Raw genomic sequence first — 21846 nt, forward strand, 5'->3', positions numbered from 1 at the left:
ATATCCTAGAGGAATGTTACTCCTAATGTCACAGAGGGTGTACACATTGTGATATTATTCATAATATTTTAAAGGGATTTTACTCCTGAGGTCACAAAAGGTGTACACCCTGTGATATTATTCCTAATATCCTAGAGGAATGTTACTCCTGATGTCACAGGGGGTGCTCACCCTATGATACGGTTCGTAATATCCTAGGGTAATGTTACTCCTGATGTCGTAGCAGATGTACGCACATATTATTTGTAACATCCTATGGGGATGTTATTCCTAACGTCATAGGGGATGTCCACCATGTGTGCACATCCTCTGTGATATTATTCATAATATTCTAAAGTGATGTTACTGCTAATGTCACAGGGAGTGTACCCCATGTATGTAAACCACCAGTGATATTATTTGTAATATCATAGGGAAATGTTACTGCTAATGTCACAGTGAGTTAAACAATGTGTGTACACCCTGTGATATTATTCGTAATATTTTAGGCGGATGTTACACCTAATGTCACAGTGGGTGTACACATATGGTGTGTACACCCTGTGGTATTACTCGTAATATCCTAGGGGGATGTTACTCCTAATGTCACAGTGAGTGTACACCATGTGTGTATACCCTGTGATATTAATTGTAACATTCTAGGGGGATGTTAGTTCTAATGTGACAGTGCATGTACACCATGTGTGTACATCCTGTGATATTATTAGTATTATTATAGGGGATGTTACTTCTAATGTCACAGTGTGTGTACCAGGATATTATTCACAATATCCTAAGGGGATTCTACTCCTAATGTCACAGTGGGTATACAACATGTATGTACATTCTGTGATATTATTCATAATATCCTAGGGAGATGTTACTCCTAATATCACAGGGGCTGTACACCATACCATGTGTGTACATTCTGTGATATTATTTGTAATATCCCAGAGAGATATAACTCCTAACATCACAGTGAATGTACACCCTGTGATAGTGTTCGTAATGTCCTAGGAATATATGACTTTTAATATCACAGAGGGTGTATACACTGTGATAATATTCATAGTATCCTAAGGAGATATTACTTCTAATATCACAATGGGTGTATGCCCTGTGATATTATTAGTAATATCCTAGGGAGATGTTACTCCTAATAACACAGTGAGTGTATACTCTGTGATATTAATCATAATTTCCTAGGGAGAAATTACTCCTAATATCCCAGTGGGTGTACATTCTGTGATATTATTCATAATATCATAAGAGATATTACTCTTAATATCACAGTGTGTGTACACCCACTGTGATATTATTTGTAATATCTTTGGGAGATATTACTGTTTATATCACAGTGGCTATACACCCTGTGATATTATTTGTAACATCCTGGGGAGATATTACTCCTAATATCACAGTGGGTGTACATGCTGTGTGTACACCCTGAAATATTATTCATAATATCTAAGGCAGAAATTACTCCTAATATCACAGTGTGTGTCAATGCTGGGATATTATTTGTAATATCCTGGGGAGACAGTACTCTTAATATTACGGTGAGTGTAGACCTTTGGATATTATTCATAATATCTTGCGGAGATATTATTACTGATATCACAGTGAATGTACACGCTGGGAAATTATTCGTAATATCTTAAGGAGATATTTGTTCTAATATCACAGTGGGTGTACACTCTGGGATACTATTCGTAATATCCTGGAGAGATATTACTGCTAATATCACAGTGGGTGTACTTCCAAAGATATTATTCATAATATTCTGTGGAGATATTACTCCTAATACCACAGCAGGTGTACACCCCGGGATATTGTTCATAATATCCTGGGGGTGATATCACAGCGGGTGTACACCATGTGTGTACACTCTGGGATATTATTTGTAATATCCTGGGGTGATATTACTCCTAATAACACAGTGGGTGTACACCATGTGGGTACGCCCTGGGATATTATTCATAATATCCTAGGGAGATATTAGTATCAATACCACAGTAAGTGTACATCATGTGCATACACCCTGAATATTATGTGTAATATCCTGAGGAGATATAACTTTCCTAATACCACAGTGGATGCAAAACATTTGTGTACAACCTGGGATATTATTCGTAATGTGCTGCAGAGATATTAATCTCCTAATACCACAGAGGGTGTACACCATGTGTGTACACCCTGGAATATGATTCATAATATGCTGCAGAGATATTACTCTCCTGATATCACAGAGGGTGTACACCCTTATAAAATAAGCATTCAATAAATGGTAGTTATTGTCTTTCTAAATCTAGCCCAGCTGTCAGCAGACTTTAGCTGTAAAGAGCCAGAAGTAAATATTTCAGGCTTTGTGGGCAATACATTCTCTGCCACATCTTCTGTCTGTTCATCAGCCCACCCTTCCTTTCTTTCCAATCCTTACAAATATAAAAACCACTCATAACTCACCAGCCACACAAATACAGGCAGCTGTAGTTTGCTGCCTAGATTCAAGTCATGTCACTCTGCTTCTAAAAAAGCTTCAGCGTTTCCTAATCCTTAAAGATTAACATTGAAATTCTTTAGCATCGCAAGAATGCTGAAGGCCATCCCCAGGTACTAGCTATTTCCCTCTCTCAAACCCTGCCCCATTTTCTAGCAACAAAATTCTCTAAACGAGCTGCATGCTCTCACATCTCCATGCCTTTATAATGCCATCCTTCCACCTGAAATTTCCTGGCAAAGTCCTCCAGGTTGGTGAGTGAGGTGGGGAGGAAGGGAAGGTGGGGAGGTGCTCAGGCAGTTTGGGGGAGGAGACAGACGTGCCATTTATTTCCAACTGCGCTGCACTGCCACTCTCTCTGTGAAGCACAGCCCAGGTTCTCAGGCTTTGTTCATTATTGCTATGTTCTTCTAGCCCACAAATGGCTGTTTCCTTCACTTCCAGATGCTTCTGACCCTTAGGTAAACAGCAATGCTTTTTAGAGCAACAATGCCTGAAGGACACACCACTTTCCTTGAACACACTGCAGAATTTTTTAAAAAAATTCAGGGGAAAAGAAACACATTTCAGAATATGTAAGTGATGCTTTCTCCAGCAAATGTGAGATAGTAGGATGCCTTATCAATTATAGAAAGGAATCAGAAGATAGGTCCCTGACTAATTTTCTGTAAGTACCACAGTTGCTTCATTTTCTCACATTTCCCTAAAAATATGTGTTTCTGGGCTTCTCACAGCCAGGACTCAGACCCAGATGACTCAAATTAGGCAGGTTTGGGACAGTAATTATGGGCTACACGACTCACCTTTGTTCTGCCTCAGCCTACCATCATTGCTGGAGTCTCATGGCCAGGAGAGGAAAAGATAAAGGCATCCTCATTTGCCTCCCCAACCCCAGAAGCCACTGTGACTTGAGCTCACCCCGGCCTGCATTTTTACTCTGAAAGATTCTCCTAGTTTGCTGAGAATTCTTTAGGAATATGTATGCCATCTCTACCTATTTAGTCTTTGAACACTTGCTCTGAACTAAGTGCCTATTATTTGGTTGGGAGTCTAAGGCAGACCTAGGTGGGGTCACTTGGAGCCTGTTATAGACTGAATTTTATGTTCCCTGCAAATCCATATGTTGAAGTCCTAATGCCCAGTACCTCAGCAGGTGACTGTATTTGGGAATAGGGCCTTTAAAGAGGTAATTAAGTTAAAATGTGGGCATTAGGGTGGGCCCTAAGTCAACCCAACAGATGTCCTTATTACAAGAGGTGATTAGGACCCAGTGAGCCACCAGAGGCACCTGGGCACAGAGGGATGACTGTTTGGAGGCAGCAAGCAGGTAGCCATCTGCAAGCCAAGGACAGAGGTCTCGGAGAAACCAAACCTGCCAGCACACTGGTCTCTGATTACTAGCCTCCAGAACTTCAAGAAAATTAATTTCTCTGTTTAAGTCACCCAGTCTGTGGTATTTTGTTATGGTGGCTTTGGCAGACAAATTCAGGACCCATCTATTTGGCCCTTGACAGAATTAAAAATGCTTCAACCCAAGCGAAACTGGCTTTGCTAGGACTGTAGATCAGATCTCTCTGGGCCTCTTGAAACAGAATATACTCTCTCTTGCAAAGTCAGCATAGACCCTTTCCTTCACACTTCTCACGCTCCCTTCCTCCACACTTCTCACGCTCCCTTCCTCTTACCCCCTGGACAATATAGCACCTTTCCTGCCTCACTTACCCATTCCCAATGCACATACTTCTCTTCCTAGATTGATCACTATTCTGCAAAACTCTGGACTCTAGAAATGAGGCAGGGAGGTGGAGTAGGGGGTTCTAGATATGGTGTGTGTCTTTCCTTTGTCTCATGCATGTTGTATTGGTTCTCTAGAAAAACAGAACCAACAGAATGTGTATACGTATTGATGGAGAGAGAGGGAGAAATGTATTTTAACAAATTGGCTCAAGCCACTGTAGAGGCTTAGTAAGTCCAAAATCTTATGGGCTAAGCTGGCAGGCTGGCGACAGAGAAGAGTTGCAGTTTGAGTCCAAAGGCCACCAGCTGACAGAATTCCTTCTTTCTTGGGGAAGTCTGTTGTAGTACTAATCAGGCCTTCAATGAATTGTATGAGGCCCACCCACATTATGGAAGATAACATGCTTTACTCAAAGTCCACTGATTTAAATGTTAACCTCATCCAAAACCACCTTCACAGAAACATCCAGAATAGTGTTTAACCAAATATCTGGGCATGTGGCCTAGCCAAGTTGACACATAAAATCAACCATCACACATGTCATTCTTGAACTAAACTTCTTTGCCCCATTCTCAATGAACTAATTGGAACTATATTGTCAAATACGATCGCCACTAGCCACGTGGTGCTAATGGAGCATTTGAAATGGAGCTAGTTCAAGTTCAGAGGTGCTGTATACATAGGATATACACTAGACTCTGAAGACTAAGTACAAAAAAGTAAAATATCTCATTAATAATCTTTATATAGATTTCACCTAGAAATGATAATTTGGGGAGTATATGGAGTCTATTAGCTTCCTAGAGTCACCATACAAATTATTAGAAACTTAGTGGCTTAAAACAACACATTTATTATCTTACATTTCTGTAGTTCAAAAGTCTGACTCAGGTCTCATTGGGCAAAATCAAGGTTTTGGGAGGGTTGCATTCCTTTTGGAGGCCTTAGGTGAGAATTCGTTCCCTTGCCTTTTTCAGCTTCTAGAGGTTTCCCACACTCCTTGGCTAGTGGCTCCTTGCTCCATCTTCAAAGCCAACAGTATCTCTTCTCTCGCCCTTCTCCATCCTCGCATCTCCCTGACCATAGATTGGACCCACCTGTATGATTCTTGACACTCTATTCTTCTCAAGCCCCTTAGCCTTAATCACATCTGCAAAGTCCCTTTGCCATGTAAGGAATATATTCACATTTCAGGGATCTTGGACATCTTTCATTATTTTGCCTACCTCATTGGGTTAAATAAAATATGTTATTGATATTAATTTCACACTGTAAAAAACTTTTTAGTGGCCACATTTAGTGGCCACAAGAAAAGTTTTAAAATTACATATGTAGCAGGCATTTGTGGCTCTCAATATATTTCTATCGGACAATGCTAGATTAGAAACTGAGAAGCATAGAGATTAAGGGGCTTGTCAAAAGTTGTATATCACATCAATAATGATGCTAAGAACTTTGGTGGGGGATTTTTTTTTGTTTTTTGTTTTTTGAGATAGGGTCTCGCTCTGTCACCCAGGTTGGAGTGCAGTGGTACTATCTCAGCTCACTGCAACCTCCGCCTCCCAGGCTCAGGTGATCCCCGTGCCTCAGCCTCCTGAGTAGCTGGGACTACAGGCATACACCACCACTTCTGGCTAAATTTTTAATTTTTTTGTAGAGACAGGGTTTCACCTTGTTGTGCAGGCTGGTATTAAACTCCTGGACTCGAGCAATACACCCACCTTGGCCTCCCAAAGTGTTGGGATTACAGGTGTGAGCCACCACACCCAGCCCCTAAGAACTTTGAAGGGCCTCAGGGCTCAGACCTCTTCTCTTTCCACACTCATCTTAGGTGATCTCATCCTGTCTAATTAATGCTTTGTTGTTTGTTGTTGTTGTTGTTGTTGTTGATGTTACAGGTTCTCACTCGGTAGCCCAGGCTGGAGTGCAGTGGCAACACCACAGCTCACTGCTGGCTGCCTCAATCTCCTGGGCCCAAATAATCCTCCACCTCAGCCTCCTGAGTAGCTGGGACCACAGGTGTATGCCACCATGCCTGACTAATTTATTCTATTTTTTTTTTGGAGAGATGGGGTCTCGCTATGTTGCCTAGGTTGGTCTTGAACTCCTAGGTTCCAGAGGTCCTCCCACCTTGGCCTCCCAAAGTGCTGGGATTACAGGTATGAGCCACTGTACCCAGCTGACTTGAATGCTATTTACGTGCTGATGACCCCAAAATGTTTATCTTTAGCCCAGGCCTCACCCTTGAACTCTAGCCTCACATCCAACTGCCTACTCAATGTTTCCACTTGGATGTCTAAGAGGCATCTGAAATGGAATGTGTCTCAAAGGGAACACTTGCTCTTCCCCAGCACCCCTGCCGCTCTTCATCCCCACCCACTATTCATATTATTTCCCCCATCTCAGTAAGGCAAAAAACAACTTTGACTACTCTTTTTTCTTTCATGACCCATGTCCAATTTATCAGCAAGCTCTGTCAGCCTTGCCTTTGAAATATATCCAGTATCTAACGATTCACCACCTCTACCCCTCCCACCTGATCCCAGGCACTGTTGTATTTCACAATAATTAGTGCCACAGCTTCTTAACAGAACTCTGTGCTTTCCACCTTCTCCCCTTTAGTATATATTTAATACAGCAGCCAAAGTTATTGTGTTAAAACACACAGATTGTGTCATTTCTCATCTTAAAATTTTCCAGTGGATTTCCATCATACTCAGGAGAAAAGCCAAATTTTTTACCAAGTTCTACGAGGCCTTACATGGTCTACCCTCTGGCCACTGCTTTGACCTCTCTACACAGCACTCCTTCCCTAGCTTCAGACATGCCAACATACTCCCACCTCGGGACCTTTGCACCTGCTGCACCTGCTTTTCCTTCTAATTCAACAGTCATTCTCCAAAGAGCTCCATATATAATTCTTTCACTTTTTTAGGTCCTTGATCAAATATCAACTCATCAGTATCCCCATTCCATCATCCTCTATCCCCCACCCAGCTTTTTTTTTTTTTTTTTTTTTTTTGAGCCAGAGTCTTGCTCTGTTACTCAGGCTGGAGTGCAGTGGTGCGATCTCAGCTCACTGCAACTTCCACCTTCCTGGTTCAAGTGATTCTCCTGTTTCAGACTCCCTAGTAGCTGGAATTACAGGTGTGCACTGCCATGCCCGGTTAATTTTTGTATTTTCAGTAGAGACGGGGTTTCGCCATGTTGGCCAGGCTGGTCTCGAACTCCTGACCTCAGGTGATCCACCCGCCTCGGCTCCCAAACCCTGCTTTTTTTCATAAAATATCACTATCTAACATACTAAATATTTTCTTGGGTATCTGTTTATTGCCTATTTCTTTTCCTCAAACCCTGGGGACTACGCCTTTCAACTGCTTGTTCATTCCTATATCTCATGTATCTAGAACACTGCCTGGCATTGTAAGCCCTCAGTAAATGCTGACCAATAAATATATGAACTATCTCACTCAAAAAGAATTAGTAGTATTAGACTGAATAATTAGGAATAACCTAGATAACCATGTGTTCAATATTTTTTTTCCCAGAACTGCATTATTTAGTTTGGCAGATATTTAAAGGCAAATTATCAACCATGTTTGCCAATTTTCAGATGACAGTCTTATCCACCAAAGAGCTAGTGTTTTCAAATCCTAGTTGCCCTTTTGCTATTCAAGATCAGTGTTTTTTTTTTTTTACAAAGATAATTGTTTCAATCTAGTCTTTAGAACTGACCGGAGAAAAATGCAGATAATTGCTGTTATAATAAATGGAAAAGCAGCAAAAGTTACTGATTTTTTTTCAGTTCATTTAGTCCCTAATCAACTGTCAAACAAAACGTCCGTCCCAACTGACAGCCTCAGTTAGCAAACTTAAAAAGCCTGCTTTTCTGAGGCTCCTGTCACATTGCAAGTCTCAGAAAGCAAGCTAATTGCTTATCACTTATGCAGAATGGGAATGGGGCATTATATTCTCTTACTAGTGTAAAACTCTATCCCCTTATTGGCTAATTTTTTGGAGCTGTTGATTTCAACTTTCAAATTGCATGTTTTCCCCAACCCATATCAATACCAGATGTTTATAACTTTGAAATGAAATCCTCTTTTGCTTTATTTTTCTTAAAATCACATTGCACTCGACACTATTGTCTACATGCGGTATTGCAATGTTTTAAAGAAACTTCCAAACTACCAATAGCCTTTATCTTCTTTTCATAAAACCTTGAACTAATGTTTACATTTTTGCCCAATGACTTACCAGTCCTATGGCCCTTAAAGACCTTAAAAAGTAGAAGGAGGCCGGGCATGGTGGCTCACTCCTGTAATCCCAGCACTTTGGGAGGCCAACGCAGGTGAATCACGAGGTCAGGAGTTTGAGACCAGCCTGACCAACATGGTGAAACCTTGTCTCTACTAAAAATACAAAAGTTAGCTGGGCATGGTGGTGCGTGCCTGTAATCCCAGCTACTCAGGAGGCTGAAAGAGGAGAAACGCTTGAACCTGGGAGACAGAGGTTGCAGTGAGCCAAGATCATGCTGCTGCACTTCAGCCTGGGTGACAGAGTTAGACTCCATCTCAAAAAAAAAAAAAAAAAAAAAAATAGAAGGAGCTGTTCTACTGAATCGTTTTAAAAATTACAATGAAATTGGACCTAAAGGAGTATTAAAAAGTTGAAAAAAAAAACCCATAATCCATAAATTAGGACAGTACTAATTCTTGCTCCAGCAGATATTAGAAAGTTAGATGGTCACCACACTACACAGATACCCCAACAGAATAGAAAAGAAAGTCCAGAGAGACCAAAAATATATATAAGAATTTAGTATATGGGAAAGTAGCCATTTCAGTAGTTTTTGTTTTGTTTTGTTTTGTCTTGAGACAGGTTTCACCCTGTACCCAAGCTGGAGTGCAGTGGCGTGATCTCAGCTCGCTGCAGCCTTAACTTCCTGGACTCAAGCAATCCTCCCACCTCAGCCTCCCAAAGTGCTGGGATTACAGATGTGAACCACTGTGCCTGGCCTTCAGTAGATGTTTAAGAGTGTTTTATAACTGTCCAATAAGTTGAAAAACAAAAAATTTAAATTCTACATCAGTTTAAAATGCTCTGGCTGAAAGTAACAAAACGCAAGCTGACAGAGGCTGAATACATAAAGATGTCGCATATTACCTAACATGAAGTCCAAAGGTAGAAAGTCCCAGGATTGGTTTAATGCCGTAAAGATGTTTTCAAATACCCAGGCTCTACATTTTTCCTTTTCACCATCCTCAGTGGGCTGGCTTTTTGTTCTTGGGCTTGTTGCTAGTGATCCAAGATGGCTATCAGAACTCGATGTCAAGTCATCACACAGCAAAGGCAAGAGGTAAAGTTGGGCCAGGGTAGTGAGACAGAGAGCATTCTGCTTTAGTGCCTCTCTCCTTTTATCAGGGACTAACATTCTTTATTTAGAAGCCTCCCAGAAGAATTCCTCTTGTGTCTCATTGGCTAGGCTAAGTCCATGAGCATTACTTGCTGCAGAGGATGAAGGTTAAACCAGTATCTGATTTTTCAGTCTCTGCAATAGGCAATGGACAAGGGAAGGGGCATTGGAAATGGGTATTTGGTAGCCAATCAGATCGTCAATCACATATATCAATATCAAATACATACTTCTGTCTTTCATGCAACTTAAAAATCCACCCTCTCTATAACCACCTTCTCTATTGTGTAATACACTTAACCTGCTTTAGAAAAATCTAGAGTCCAAAACTGCCAGAGAATTTAATTTCTCTTATTTGGTTTCTAAATTTCTCTGCCATATTTCTTTGTCTTCATTCTCTTTAGGAATTCAGTTGTTGTTTTTACTGACTTCTGATTTACTGTTTATACAGATTTCTACTCTTTTTTTTTTTGGCATAGTGATTTTTTTGGGAACCTATGTAATGGGTACATTTTTTTCACTTTTATTTAGCTTTTTTATAGATCACTATGTTTGGAAATGTAAAAGTAACACGGTAAAAATAAGATATATCTATCGAGAAGCAAAGTGAAATTCACTCAGATGCACTCCTGTATGTACTAGTACTTAAATGAACTTTTCATTTTTTCTTACCTTGTATTAAAGTTATTTTTGATATACTACTCATCTCCAGCTGACGACATTCCAAAAATATGTCCCCCCCAAAAAAAAAGAAAAGAACAACTATCCTTCGTACTACTGGAAACGCACCAATCCCCAAGCCAAATATTATTATATAAAGTTAACAATACTTAATGCTGATGTGAAGTCAATAAATCTTATGTCACATGATAATGAAGAAAGGAAATAAAATGAAGGTATTTTCCTAGTACAAGTGTATACATGCACAAACATGTTTTTAACAAAAGAAGGAGGAAATACTCATGACAATTACAGTCCCTGTTTCTGCAGCTGGTCACGTGGTCGTAGCTGGTATTGATGACTACCTTCTTCTACTACCCATTCTGTACGCCCTTTGCCTTCAGCAAGCACCTCAGCAGGTCGTGTTTTTTTGTTTTGTTTTGTTTTGTTTTTGTCGTTGTTTTTTTTTTTTGGTGGAGTGACCCAAACCTTCATTCCTGAAGCGTCTGGCCATGTGTAGTCCTGCCTAGATTGGGCTGCTGTAGTTTCCCATTGACCTTAATCACAGAGCACAGCAATACTAAGAGATGCCCTAATGGATCTTTTTTTTTTTTTTAAGTTTTAAAAGTCTTTAATTTCACCCCTCCACAAATTCTGAACAATACTTATTTTTGTTTTTAGTTTAGTGACAGGGTCTCACTATGTTTCCCAGACTGGACTTAAACACCTGGGCTCAAGTGATCCTCCCACATCTCTTGTATTCCATGCATACTCTTTCTTACCTCCGTTGTGGAGTGGTAGACTGATTTCATCTTGATAGTCTGGATCAATCACCCCAGTCAACACTGTAACTCCCTTCTTAGCCTGTTGACGTAAAGGTAGGAGGAGCCCAAAGTGTCCAGGTGGCAAACTTAACTTCCAGTTTAATGGAATTGTTGTCATGTCTCCTGGTGGCAGCATTCCTCCCTCTAGAACTAAGACCTCTAGGCCAGCAATGTGAATGTCGTGGAAACAGGAAGCAAAAAATTTGCTAGTGGATCACTAGGGGTGATGGTGAGTGGTGCCACTTCCACTTCCACCCCTTGATTCCTGGATCCTTGAATCCTGGCTATGGGAGAAACAGTACCATATATTGGGCACTGATTCAGAGCATACACAGCCTTCTGGAGAGCTTTGTCTCAGCCCTGCAAAGTATTGTCACCTAGTTGGAGTTTTGTAATTGTGACTTCAAAAGCCCATTCCACCGTTCTATCAATCCAGCTGCTTCAAGATGATGGGAAATATGGTAAGACCAGTGAATTCCATGAGCAAGAGCTCACTGCCACACATATTTAACTATAAAGTGAGTGCCTTGGTCAGAGGCAATGTTCTGTGGAATACCATGACAGTGGATAAGGCATTCCGTGAGTACATGAATGGTAGTCTTGGCAGAAGCATTGAGTGCAGGATAGGCAAACCCATATCCAGAGTAGGTGTCTATTCCAGTAAGGACAAACCTCTGCCCTTTCCATGATGGAAGAAGTCCAATATAATCAACTTGCCACCAGGTAGCTAACTGATCACCCTGAGGAACAGTGTCATATCAAGGGCTCAGTGTTGGTCTCTGCTGCTGGCAAATGGGTACTCAGCAGTGGCCATAGCCAAGTCAGCCTTGGTGGGTGGAAGTCCATCTTGCTGAGCCTATGCATAACCTCCATCACTGCCAACATGGCCACTTTGTTCATGGGCCCATTGGGTGATCACAGGGGTGGCTGAGAATGAGGCTGAGTGGTGTCCACAGAACAGGTCATCCTATCCACTTGATTATTAAAATCTTCCTCCACCAAGATCACCTGTTGGTGAGCACTCACATGGGATAAAAATATCTTCACAGTTTTTGACCATTCAGAGAGGTCCATCCACATACCTCTTCCCCAAATTTCTTTGTCACCGATTTTCCAATCATGCTTCTTCCAAGACCCTGGCCATCCAGCCAAACCATTGGCTACAGCTTATGAATCAGTATATAATCACACAGCTGGCCATTTCTCCTTCCATGCAAAGTGTACAACCAAGTGCACTGCTCAAAGTTCTGTTCACTGGGATGATTTCTCTTCACTTCTGTCCTTCAGTGTTGTCCTAGAAAGGGGCTGTAGTGCTGCAACTGTCCACTTTCAGGTGGTGCCTGTGTAATGTGCAGAACCATCTGTGAACCAGGCCCCAGTCTTCTCTTCCTCTGTGAACTGAATCATAGGGAACTTCCCTATAAGGCCATCAGTGCGGGCTGGGGGAAGAGAAGGCAGGGTGGGAGGAGTGGAGACCATAGGCATTTGAGCTACTTACTCATGTAACTTACTTGTGCCCAATCACCTATATACCACTTCTGTTTGATGATGGAATGCTGCTAAGCATGACCCACTTTATGGCTAGATGGTTCAGAAAGCACCCAGTTCATGATAGGCAGTTCAGGTTGCATGGTAATTTGATGACCCATAGTCAAATGTTCAGTTTCCACCAAAGCTCGGTAATAGGCCAAGAGCTGTCTCTCAAAGGGAGAGTAGTTATCTGCAGAAGATGGCAGGGCCTTGCTCCAAAATCCTAGAGGCCTCCACTGTGATTCACCTATGGGAGCCTGCCAAAGGCTCCAGACAGCATCCCTATCTGCCAATGACACCACAATCACCATTGAATCTGCTGGGTCATATGGCCCAAGTGGCAGAAATGCTTGCACAGCAGCATGGACCTGTTGGAGAGCCTTCTCCTGTTCTAGACCCCACTCAAAACTGGCAGCCTTTTGGGTCACTCAATAAATAGTCCAGAGTAACCCACCCAAATGAAGAATGTGTTGCCTACAAAATCCAAATAGGACCATTAGGCATTGTGCCTCTTTCTGGGTTTTGGGAGGGGCCAAATGCAGCAACTTATCCTTCACCTTAAAAAGAATATCTCGACAGGCCCCAAACCACTGGACCCCTAAAAATTTTAGTGAGGTAGAAGTTCCCTGAATTTTAGTTGGATTTTCCCATCCTCTAGCATGCAAATGTCTTACCAATGAGTCCAGTGTGTTTGCTACTTCTTGCTCTCTGAATCCAATCAGCATAATGTCATCAATGTAATGAAGCAAAAGCGATCAAAATCTCTCAGAATAAGATTATGAAACAAAGCCAGAGTTGATATAACCCTTGAGGTACAACAGTGAAGGTATATTGCTGACCTTGCCAGCCAAAGGTAAATTGCTTCTGGTGCGCCTTATGGATAGGAATGGAGAAAAAGGCATTTGCCAAGTCAATGGCTGCATATCAGTTACCAGGAGGTGTGTTAATTTGCTCAAGCAATAAAAACACATCTGGTACAGCAGCTGCAATTGGAGTCAACACTTGGTTAATCTTACAATAATCCACTGTCATTCTCCAAGATCCATCTGTCTTCTGCACAGGCCAAATGGGAGAGTCAAACGGAGATGAGGTGGGAATCACTACCCCTGCATCTTTCTTTTTTTCTTTTTAATTATACTTTAAGTTCTAGGATACATGTGCAGAATGTGCAGGTTTGTTATATAGGTATACATGTGCCATGGTGGTTTGCTGCACTGCACCCATCAACCAGTCATCTGAATTAGGTATTTCTCCTAATGCTATCCCTCCTCTAGCCCGCCACCTCCCGACAGGCCCTGGTGTGTGATGTTCCCCTCCCTGTGTCCATGTGTTCTCATTGTTCAATTCCCACCTATGAGTGAGAACATGTGGTGTTTGGTTTTCTGTTCCTATGTTAGTTTGCTGAGAATGATGGTTTCCAGCTTCATCCATGTCCCTGCAAAGGACATGAACGCATCTTATTTTATGGCTGCATAGTATTCCATGGTGTACATGTGCCACATTTTCTTTATCCAGTCTATCACTGATGGGCATTTGGCTTGGTTCCAAGACTTAGCTATTGTGAATAGTGCTGCAAAAAACATACATGTGCATGTATCTTTATAGTAGAATGATTTATAATCCTTTGGGTATATACCCAGTAATGGGATTGCTGGGTCAAATGGTATTTCTGGTTCTAGATCCTTGAGGAATTGCCACACTGTCTTCCACAATGGTTGAGGTAATTTACACTCCCACCAACAGTGTAAAAGCATTCCTATTTCTCCACATCTCTCCAGCATCTATTGTTTCCTGACTTTTTAATGATTGCCATTCTCACTGGTGTGAGATGGTATCTGGTATCTCATTGTGGTTTTGATTTGCATTTCTCTAATGACGAGTGATGATAAGCTTTTTTTCATATGTTTGTTGGCCACATAAATGTCTTCTTTTGAGAAGTGTCTGTTCATATCCTTTGCCCACTTTCTGATGGGGTCATTTGTTTTTTCTTGTAAATTTAAGTTCCTTGTAGATTCTAGATATTAGCCCTTTGTCAGATGGATAGGTTGCAAAAATTTTCTCCCATTCTGTAGGTTGCCTGTTCACTCTGATGGTAGTTTCTTTTGCTATGCAGAAGCTCTTTAGTTTAATTAGATCCCATTTTTCTATTTTGGCTTTTGTTGCTATTGCTTTTGGTATTTTAGTCATGAAATCTTTGCCCATGCCTATGTCCTCAATGGTATTGCCTAGATTTTCTTCTAGGGTTTTTATGGTTTTAGGTCTTACGTTTAAGTCTTAACATATAAGGTGTAAGGAAGGGGTCCAGTTTCAGTTTTCCGCATATGGCTGGCCAGTTTTCCCAACACCATTTATTAAATAGGGAATCATTTCCTCATTGCTTGTTTTTGTCAGGTTTGTCAAAAATCAGATGGTTGTAGACATGCGGTGTTATTTCTGAGGCCTCTGTTCTGTTCCATTGGTCTGTATATCTGTTTTGGTACCAGTACCACGCTGTTTTGGTTACTGTAGCCTTGTAGAATAGTTTGAGGTCAGGTAGCATGATGCCTCCAGCTTTGTTCTTTTTGCTTAGGATTGTCTTGGCTAAATGGGTTTTTTTTTTGTTCCATATGAAATTTAAAGTAGTTTTTCTAATTCTGTGAAGAAAGTCAATGGTATTTTATTCTCTTTGTAGCAATTGTGAATAGGAATTCACTCATCATTTGGCTCTCTGTGTCTATTATTGATATATGAGAATGCTTGTGACTTTTGCACATTGATTTTGTATCCTGAGACTTTGCTGAAGTTGCTTATCAGCTTAAGGAGATTTTGGGCTGAGATGATGGGGTTTTCTAAATATATAATCAGGTCATTTGCAAACAGAGACAATTTGATTTCCTCTCTTCCTATTTGAATATCCTTTATTTCTTTCTCTTGCCTGATATCCCTGGCCAGAACTTCCAATATTATGTTGAGTAGGACTGGTGAGAGGGGGCATCCTTGTCTTGTGCCGGTTTTCAAAGGGAATGCTTCCAGCTTTTGCCCATGCAGTATGATAATGGCTGTGGGTTTCTCATAAATAGCTCTTATTATTTTGAGATATGTTCCTTCGATACCTAGTTTATCGAGAGTTTTAGCATGAAGGGATGTTGGATTTTATCAAAGGCCTTTTCTTCATTTATTGAGATAATCATGTGGTTTTTGTCATTTGTTCTGTTTATGTGATGGGTTACATTTGTTAATTTGTGTATGTTGAAGCAGCCTTGCATCCCGGGGATGAAGCTGACTTGATTGTGGTGGATAAGCTTTTTGATGTGCTGCTGGATTTGGTTTGCCAGTATTTTATTGAGGATTTTCACATCGAAGTTCATCAGGGATATTGGCCTGAAATTTTCTTTTTTTGTTGTGTCTCCACCAGGTTTTGGTGTCAGGATGCTGCTGGCCTCATGAAATGAGTTAGGGAGGAGTCCCTCTTTTTCTGTTTTTGGAATAGTTTCAGAAGGAATGGTACCAGCTCCTCTTTGTACCTCTGGTAAAATTCAGCTGTGAATCCGTCTGGTCCTGGACTTTTTTTGGTTGGTAGACTATTAATTACTGCCTCAATTTCAGAATTTGTTATTGGTCTATTCAGGGATTCAACTCCTTCCTGGTTTAGTCTTGAGAGGGTGTGTGTGTCCAGGAATTTATCCATTTCTTCTAGATTTTCTAGTTTATTTGTGTAGAGGTGTTTATAGTATTCTCCGATGGTAGTTTGTATTTCTGTGGAATCAGTGGTGATATCCCCTTTGTAATTTTTATTGTGTCTATTTGATTATTCTCTCTTTTCTTCTTTTTTAGTCTGGCTAGTGGTCTATCTACTTTGTTAATCTTTTCAAAAAACCAGCTCCTGGATTCATTCATTTTTCTGAAGGATTTTTCATGCCTCTATCTCCTTCAGTTCTGCTCTGATCTTAGTTATTTCTTGTCTTCTGTTTGCTTTTAAATTTGTTTGTTCTTGCTTCTCTAGTTCTTTAAATTGTGATGTTAGGATGTTGATTTTAGATCTTTCCTGCTTTCTCCTGTGGGCATTTAGTGCTATAAACTTCCCTCTAAACACTGCTTTAGCTGTGTCCCAGAGATTGTGGAACATTGTATCTTTGTTCTCATTGGTTTCAAAGAACTTATTTATTTCTGCCTTAATTTCATTATTTACCCAGTAGTCATTCAAGAGCAGGTTGTTCAGTTTCCATGTAGTTGTATGGTTTTGAGTGAGTTTCTTATTCCTGAGTTCTAATTCGATTGCACTGTGGTCTGAGACACAGTTTGTTATGATTTCTGTTCTTTTGCATTTGCTGAGGAGTGTTTTATTTCCAATTATGTGGTCAATTTTAGAATAAGTGCAATGTGGTGCTAAGAAGAATGTACATTTTGTTGATTTGAGTTCTGTATATGTCTATTAGGTCCGCTTGGTCCAGAACTGAGATCTTGGTCCAGTGAGCTGAGATCTCACCACTGCCTTCCAGCCTGGGCAACAGAGCAAGAATCCGTCTCAAAAAAAAAAAAAAAAAAAGAAAGAAAAAAAGAAAAGAAACCCAGGGCCCTGGTGGTGTACGTACCTGAGGGAATCTCCTGGTCAGCAGGTTGTGAAGACCATGGGAAAAGCGTATCTGGGCCAGAATGCACCATTCCTCATGACACAGTCCCTCATGGCTTCCCTTGGCTAGGGGAGGGAGTTCCCTGACCCTTGTGCTTCCTGGGTGAGGCGATGCACCACCCTGCTTTGGCTCACCCTCCATGGGTTGCACCCACTGTCTACCCAGTCCCAATGAGATGAGCCGGGGACCTCAGTTGGAAATAACCCACCTTCTGTGTTGATCTCACTGGGAGCTGCCAACCAGACCTGTTCCTATTCGGCCATCTTGCCAGCCACACCCACCCCTGCATCTTTCAAGTCCCTGATGGTGGCACTAATCTTTGCAATCCCTTCAGGGATGTGATATTGTTTTTGATTTACTCTTTTCTTTTTTTTTTTTTTGAGATGAAGTTTCACTCTATTGCTCAGGCTGGAGTGCAGTGGCACAATCTCAGTTCACTACAAACTCCGCCTCCCAGGTTCAAGTGATTCTTCTGCCTCAGCCTCCCAAGTAGAGTAGCTGGGTTTACAAGCATGCGCCACCATGCCTGGCCAATTGTTTTGTATTGTTAGTAGAGATGGGGTTTCAGTATGTTGGCCGGGCTGGTCTTGAACTCCTGACCTCTAGTGATCCTCCCACCTTGGCCTCCCAAAGTGTTGGGATTACAGGTGTGAGCCATCATGCCTGGCCCTACTATTTTTCTAGGTAGAGGCAGCTCTAATGGCTTCCATTTGGCCTTTCCCACCATAATAGCTTTTGCCCTACTAGTCAAGGAGCCAATGTGGGTGTTCTGCCAGGTGCTAAGTATGTCTATGCCAATTATGCATTCTGGCACTGAGGAAATGACCAAAGGATGAGTCCAGGGACCCACTGGACCCACTGTAAGTCAGATCTGAGTGAAAACTCCATTAATTACCTGACTTTCATAAGTCCCTACTTTAACTGGAGGACCACAATGACGTTTTGGGTCTCCTGGAATCAATGTCAGCTCAGAGCCCGTGTCCAGTAGTCCCCAAAATGTCTGATCATTTCCCTTTCCCAATGTACACTTACCCTGGTAAAAGACCAGAGGTCTTCTTGGGGAAGGATGGGAAAAAAGATTCACGCATAAAATGTCAGTAATGTAGTAAGGTCCTTCCTCAAGGAGACTTTGCTTCCCCTTCATTCAAGGGGTTCTGGGTCTGTAAACTGGCTCAAGTCTGGAAACTGATTGAGGGGCCATGATTCTCTGTTTTTATATTTCAAATTATTCTTTTGTCCATTTGACTTAGAAGTTTTCTACTTATATAAATTAAATAGGAATGCAGTAGGCTTCCTATCAATTTCACTTCTAGGAACATGATTAATTAGCCAATGCCAGGGCTCTACATGAGCCAGACTATTCTGATTGCTGCTTTGCCTCTGCTGTCCATTACGGTAGCTATGCCTACCTTGCCTTTGACAATTGAGTGCCACCACTTGGCCCCTGCCACTTCGGGATCCAATTATTCCCACTGTATTTAAATTTTGTAGTTGAGTGGCTGTGGTCCCCACTGTTAGGTCTGACATACAGAGAAAAGCAAGTACAGGGCTCTTCAAAGATGCAGGTGCTGCCTTCACAAATCTATTTCACAAGTCATTGGTCAAGGGTGTATCTTCTGGACCCTTCCACTTGGGATGAGTAGGTCTAAAGTGACTAATCCACTCCACTATCCCAATCTCCCTAAGCCTTTGGATCCCTTCCTCTACGTTAAACCAAGGGAGATCAGGCTTTTCCAGCTCACTCACAGATCTTTTAATCCATACTTCAGCTAACCAAGCAAATAAACTATTAGAACCTTTTTTAACTCCCTGAACTGAAACATTAAATGCGCAGTCGCTACTTAGTGGGCCCAAATCAATAAATTCAGCATGACCCAGTTCTATGTTCCTTCCACCATTATCTCACAACCTTAACATCCATTTGCATGCCTGTTCTCCAGATTTCTGTTTATATAAATTAGAAAACTCAAGCAGTTCTTTTCAAGTGTAGTGCGCCTCCTCATGGGTCACACTCTCAACCTCACCTCTAGAGGTCTGCCAGGACTTTAGTCTAGTTATAGGTCTAAAAGCAAACAGGGGTGCTGTGGGTGGCTCTTGAGGAGAATCAACATTATCTTGCCTGGCAACTGCCTCAGGGGAGGCCATCACTATTGCCTCAGGCAGTGCAGGGTTTATCTCCTCAGATAAAAGTGGAAAGGCTGATGACAGCATGGGTCAGGGAGGGGATGTTGCCACTACTGAGAATGGGGAAGCTGTTTCTTCTGGCAAAAAAAAAAAAAGGTTCATCGGAGTTTACAAACTCATTGTTCCCAACTTCATCAGAGTCTTCCCACATGTCCCCATCCCAAGTTGCAGGGTCCTATTCTTTTCCAATAAATGCCCTCACTTTAAAGTTGACACCTAGTGAGGCTGTGCATGCACCTTTCCTTGCAGACCAGCCACTTGCATAAGAGCTTGTGTCTGTTTTTCCACAGTTTCAGCTCTTTCTCTACAGAAGATAAGACTCTCACTCAGAGCAATCTTAACAGATTTGAGGCTCATCATCTGTTTCTGAAGCTGGGATTTAGAATCCCTGAATTCATCATTTTATTTCATCATGTTAAGTATTAACTCACATGATCACAAGGCCCCACAATGGCTTGCTCCTGCAGGCTGAGGAGCAAGGAGAGCCAGTCCGAGTTCCAAAACTGAAGAATTTGGAGTCTGATGCTCGAGGGCAGGAAGCATCCAGCATGGGAGAAAGATGTAGGCTGGGAGGCCTCTATTTTTACATTTTTCTGCCTGCTTTATATTTTAGCCATGCTGGCAGCTGATTAGATTGTGCCCACCCAGATTAAGGATGGGTCTGCCTTCCCCAGCCCACTGACTCAAATGTTAATCTCCTTTGGCAACACCCTGACAGACACACCCAGGATCAATACTTTGTATCCTTCAATCCAATTAAGTTGACACTCAGTATTAACCATCACATAGTTCTCATCTCGCCAGACCTTGACCTGGCTTTTTTTTTTTTTTTTTTTTTTAACTTTGGACCTCTCATCTGTGTCATCTGTTGCACTCAGGCTCACCTATCTTGGGGTTCCACTACCATCTCATGTCTCTTCATATTCCAGGGCTCTTTTTCTTTCTCCAGGCAGTTTATTAGGTCTGGCTTAGAGACGGCAATACTAAGGAAGACCAGGTTTCTGTAGTTCTCTAACATCATTTTTTTTTTTTTTTTTGAGACGGAGTCTCACTCTGTGGCCCAGGCTGGAGTGCAGTGGTGTGATCTCAGCTCACTGCAAGCTCTGCCTCCTGGGTTCACGCCATTCTCCTGCCTCAGCCTCCCGAGTAGCTGGGACTACAGGCACCTGCCACCACACCTGGCTTTTTTTTTTTTTTTTTTTTTTTGTATTTTTTTGGTAGAGATGGGGTTTCACTGTGTTAGCCAGAATGGTCTCGATCTCCTGACCTCATGATCTGCCTGCCTTAGCCTCTCAAAGTGCTGGGATTACAGGCATAAGCCACCGTGCCTGGCCCCTAACATCACATTTCTATAAAATTACGCTGTGCTGTATTTAGGCATTGCCACTCCTCCAGAAAGAATTCTATGGCCACATCCATAAATGTCACTGGTCCCATTTCTAGGCTTCCAGGAGGTCAAGGTGTCTTAGCTGTGGATCTCCCAACACCTGCAGGCCACAGAGGCTGTATCTCTAGGGGCAGAAGACGTAGAGAAGTCTACGTTGTTATTCTGATAAAGACTACTTTGAATCTGAAGATTGCTTTGGGCGGTATGATCATTTTAATGATCATAATCCTTCCAATCCATGAGCAGGGGATGCCTTTCCATTTGTTTGTGGCTGCTTTAATTTCTTTCAACAGTGTGCTTGGTTTTCCTTATAGAGATCTTTCACCTCTTTGGTTAAATTTATCCTTAGGTATTTTACTTTTGTGGCTATTGTAAATGAAATTGCATTCTTGATTTTTTTTCTCAAGTACTTCATTATTGGTGTATAGAAATGTTACTGATTTTTGTATCTTGCAACTTTACTAAATTTAAAAAATCAAATCAGAATTTTTTGGTGGACTTTTGCCTTTTCTTTCATTTTCTTGCTTGATTGCTCTGGCTAGAATGTCCAGTAATATGTTGAATAAAAGTGGTGAAAATGGGCATTCTGTCTTGTTCCAGTTCTTACAGAAAAGACTGTCGGGCTTTCCCCATTCAATATGATAATAGTCATGGGTTTGTCATATCTGGCCTTTATAATGTTGAGGCATGTTCCTTCTATGCCTAGTTTGTTGAGAGTTTTTACCACGATGAGATGTTGATTTTATCAAATGCTTTTTTTGTATTTACTGAGGTGATCATGTGATTTTTGTCTTTCATTCTGTTGATGTGATGTATCATGTTTATTGTCTTGCATATGTTGAACTACCCTTGCATCCCTGTAAGAAATTCCACTTGTTATAGTGTATTTTTTGTTTGTTTGATGTGCTGTTGGATTTGGTTTGCTAGTATTTTATTGATAATTTTTGCATCTACTTTCATCAGGAATGTTGGGTAGGTCTAGCCCATAGTTTTCTTTTTTTGTTATGTCTTTGTGTGG

Source organism: Homo sapiens, chromosome 12 (assembly GCF_000001405.40).
Source record: "Homo sapiens chromosome 12, GRCh38.p14 Primary Assembly".
NCBI classification, from domain to species: Eukaryota; Metazoa; Chordata; class Mammalia; order Primates; family Hominidae; genus Homo; species Homo sapiens.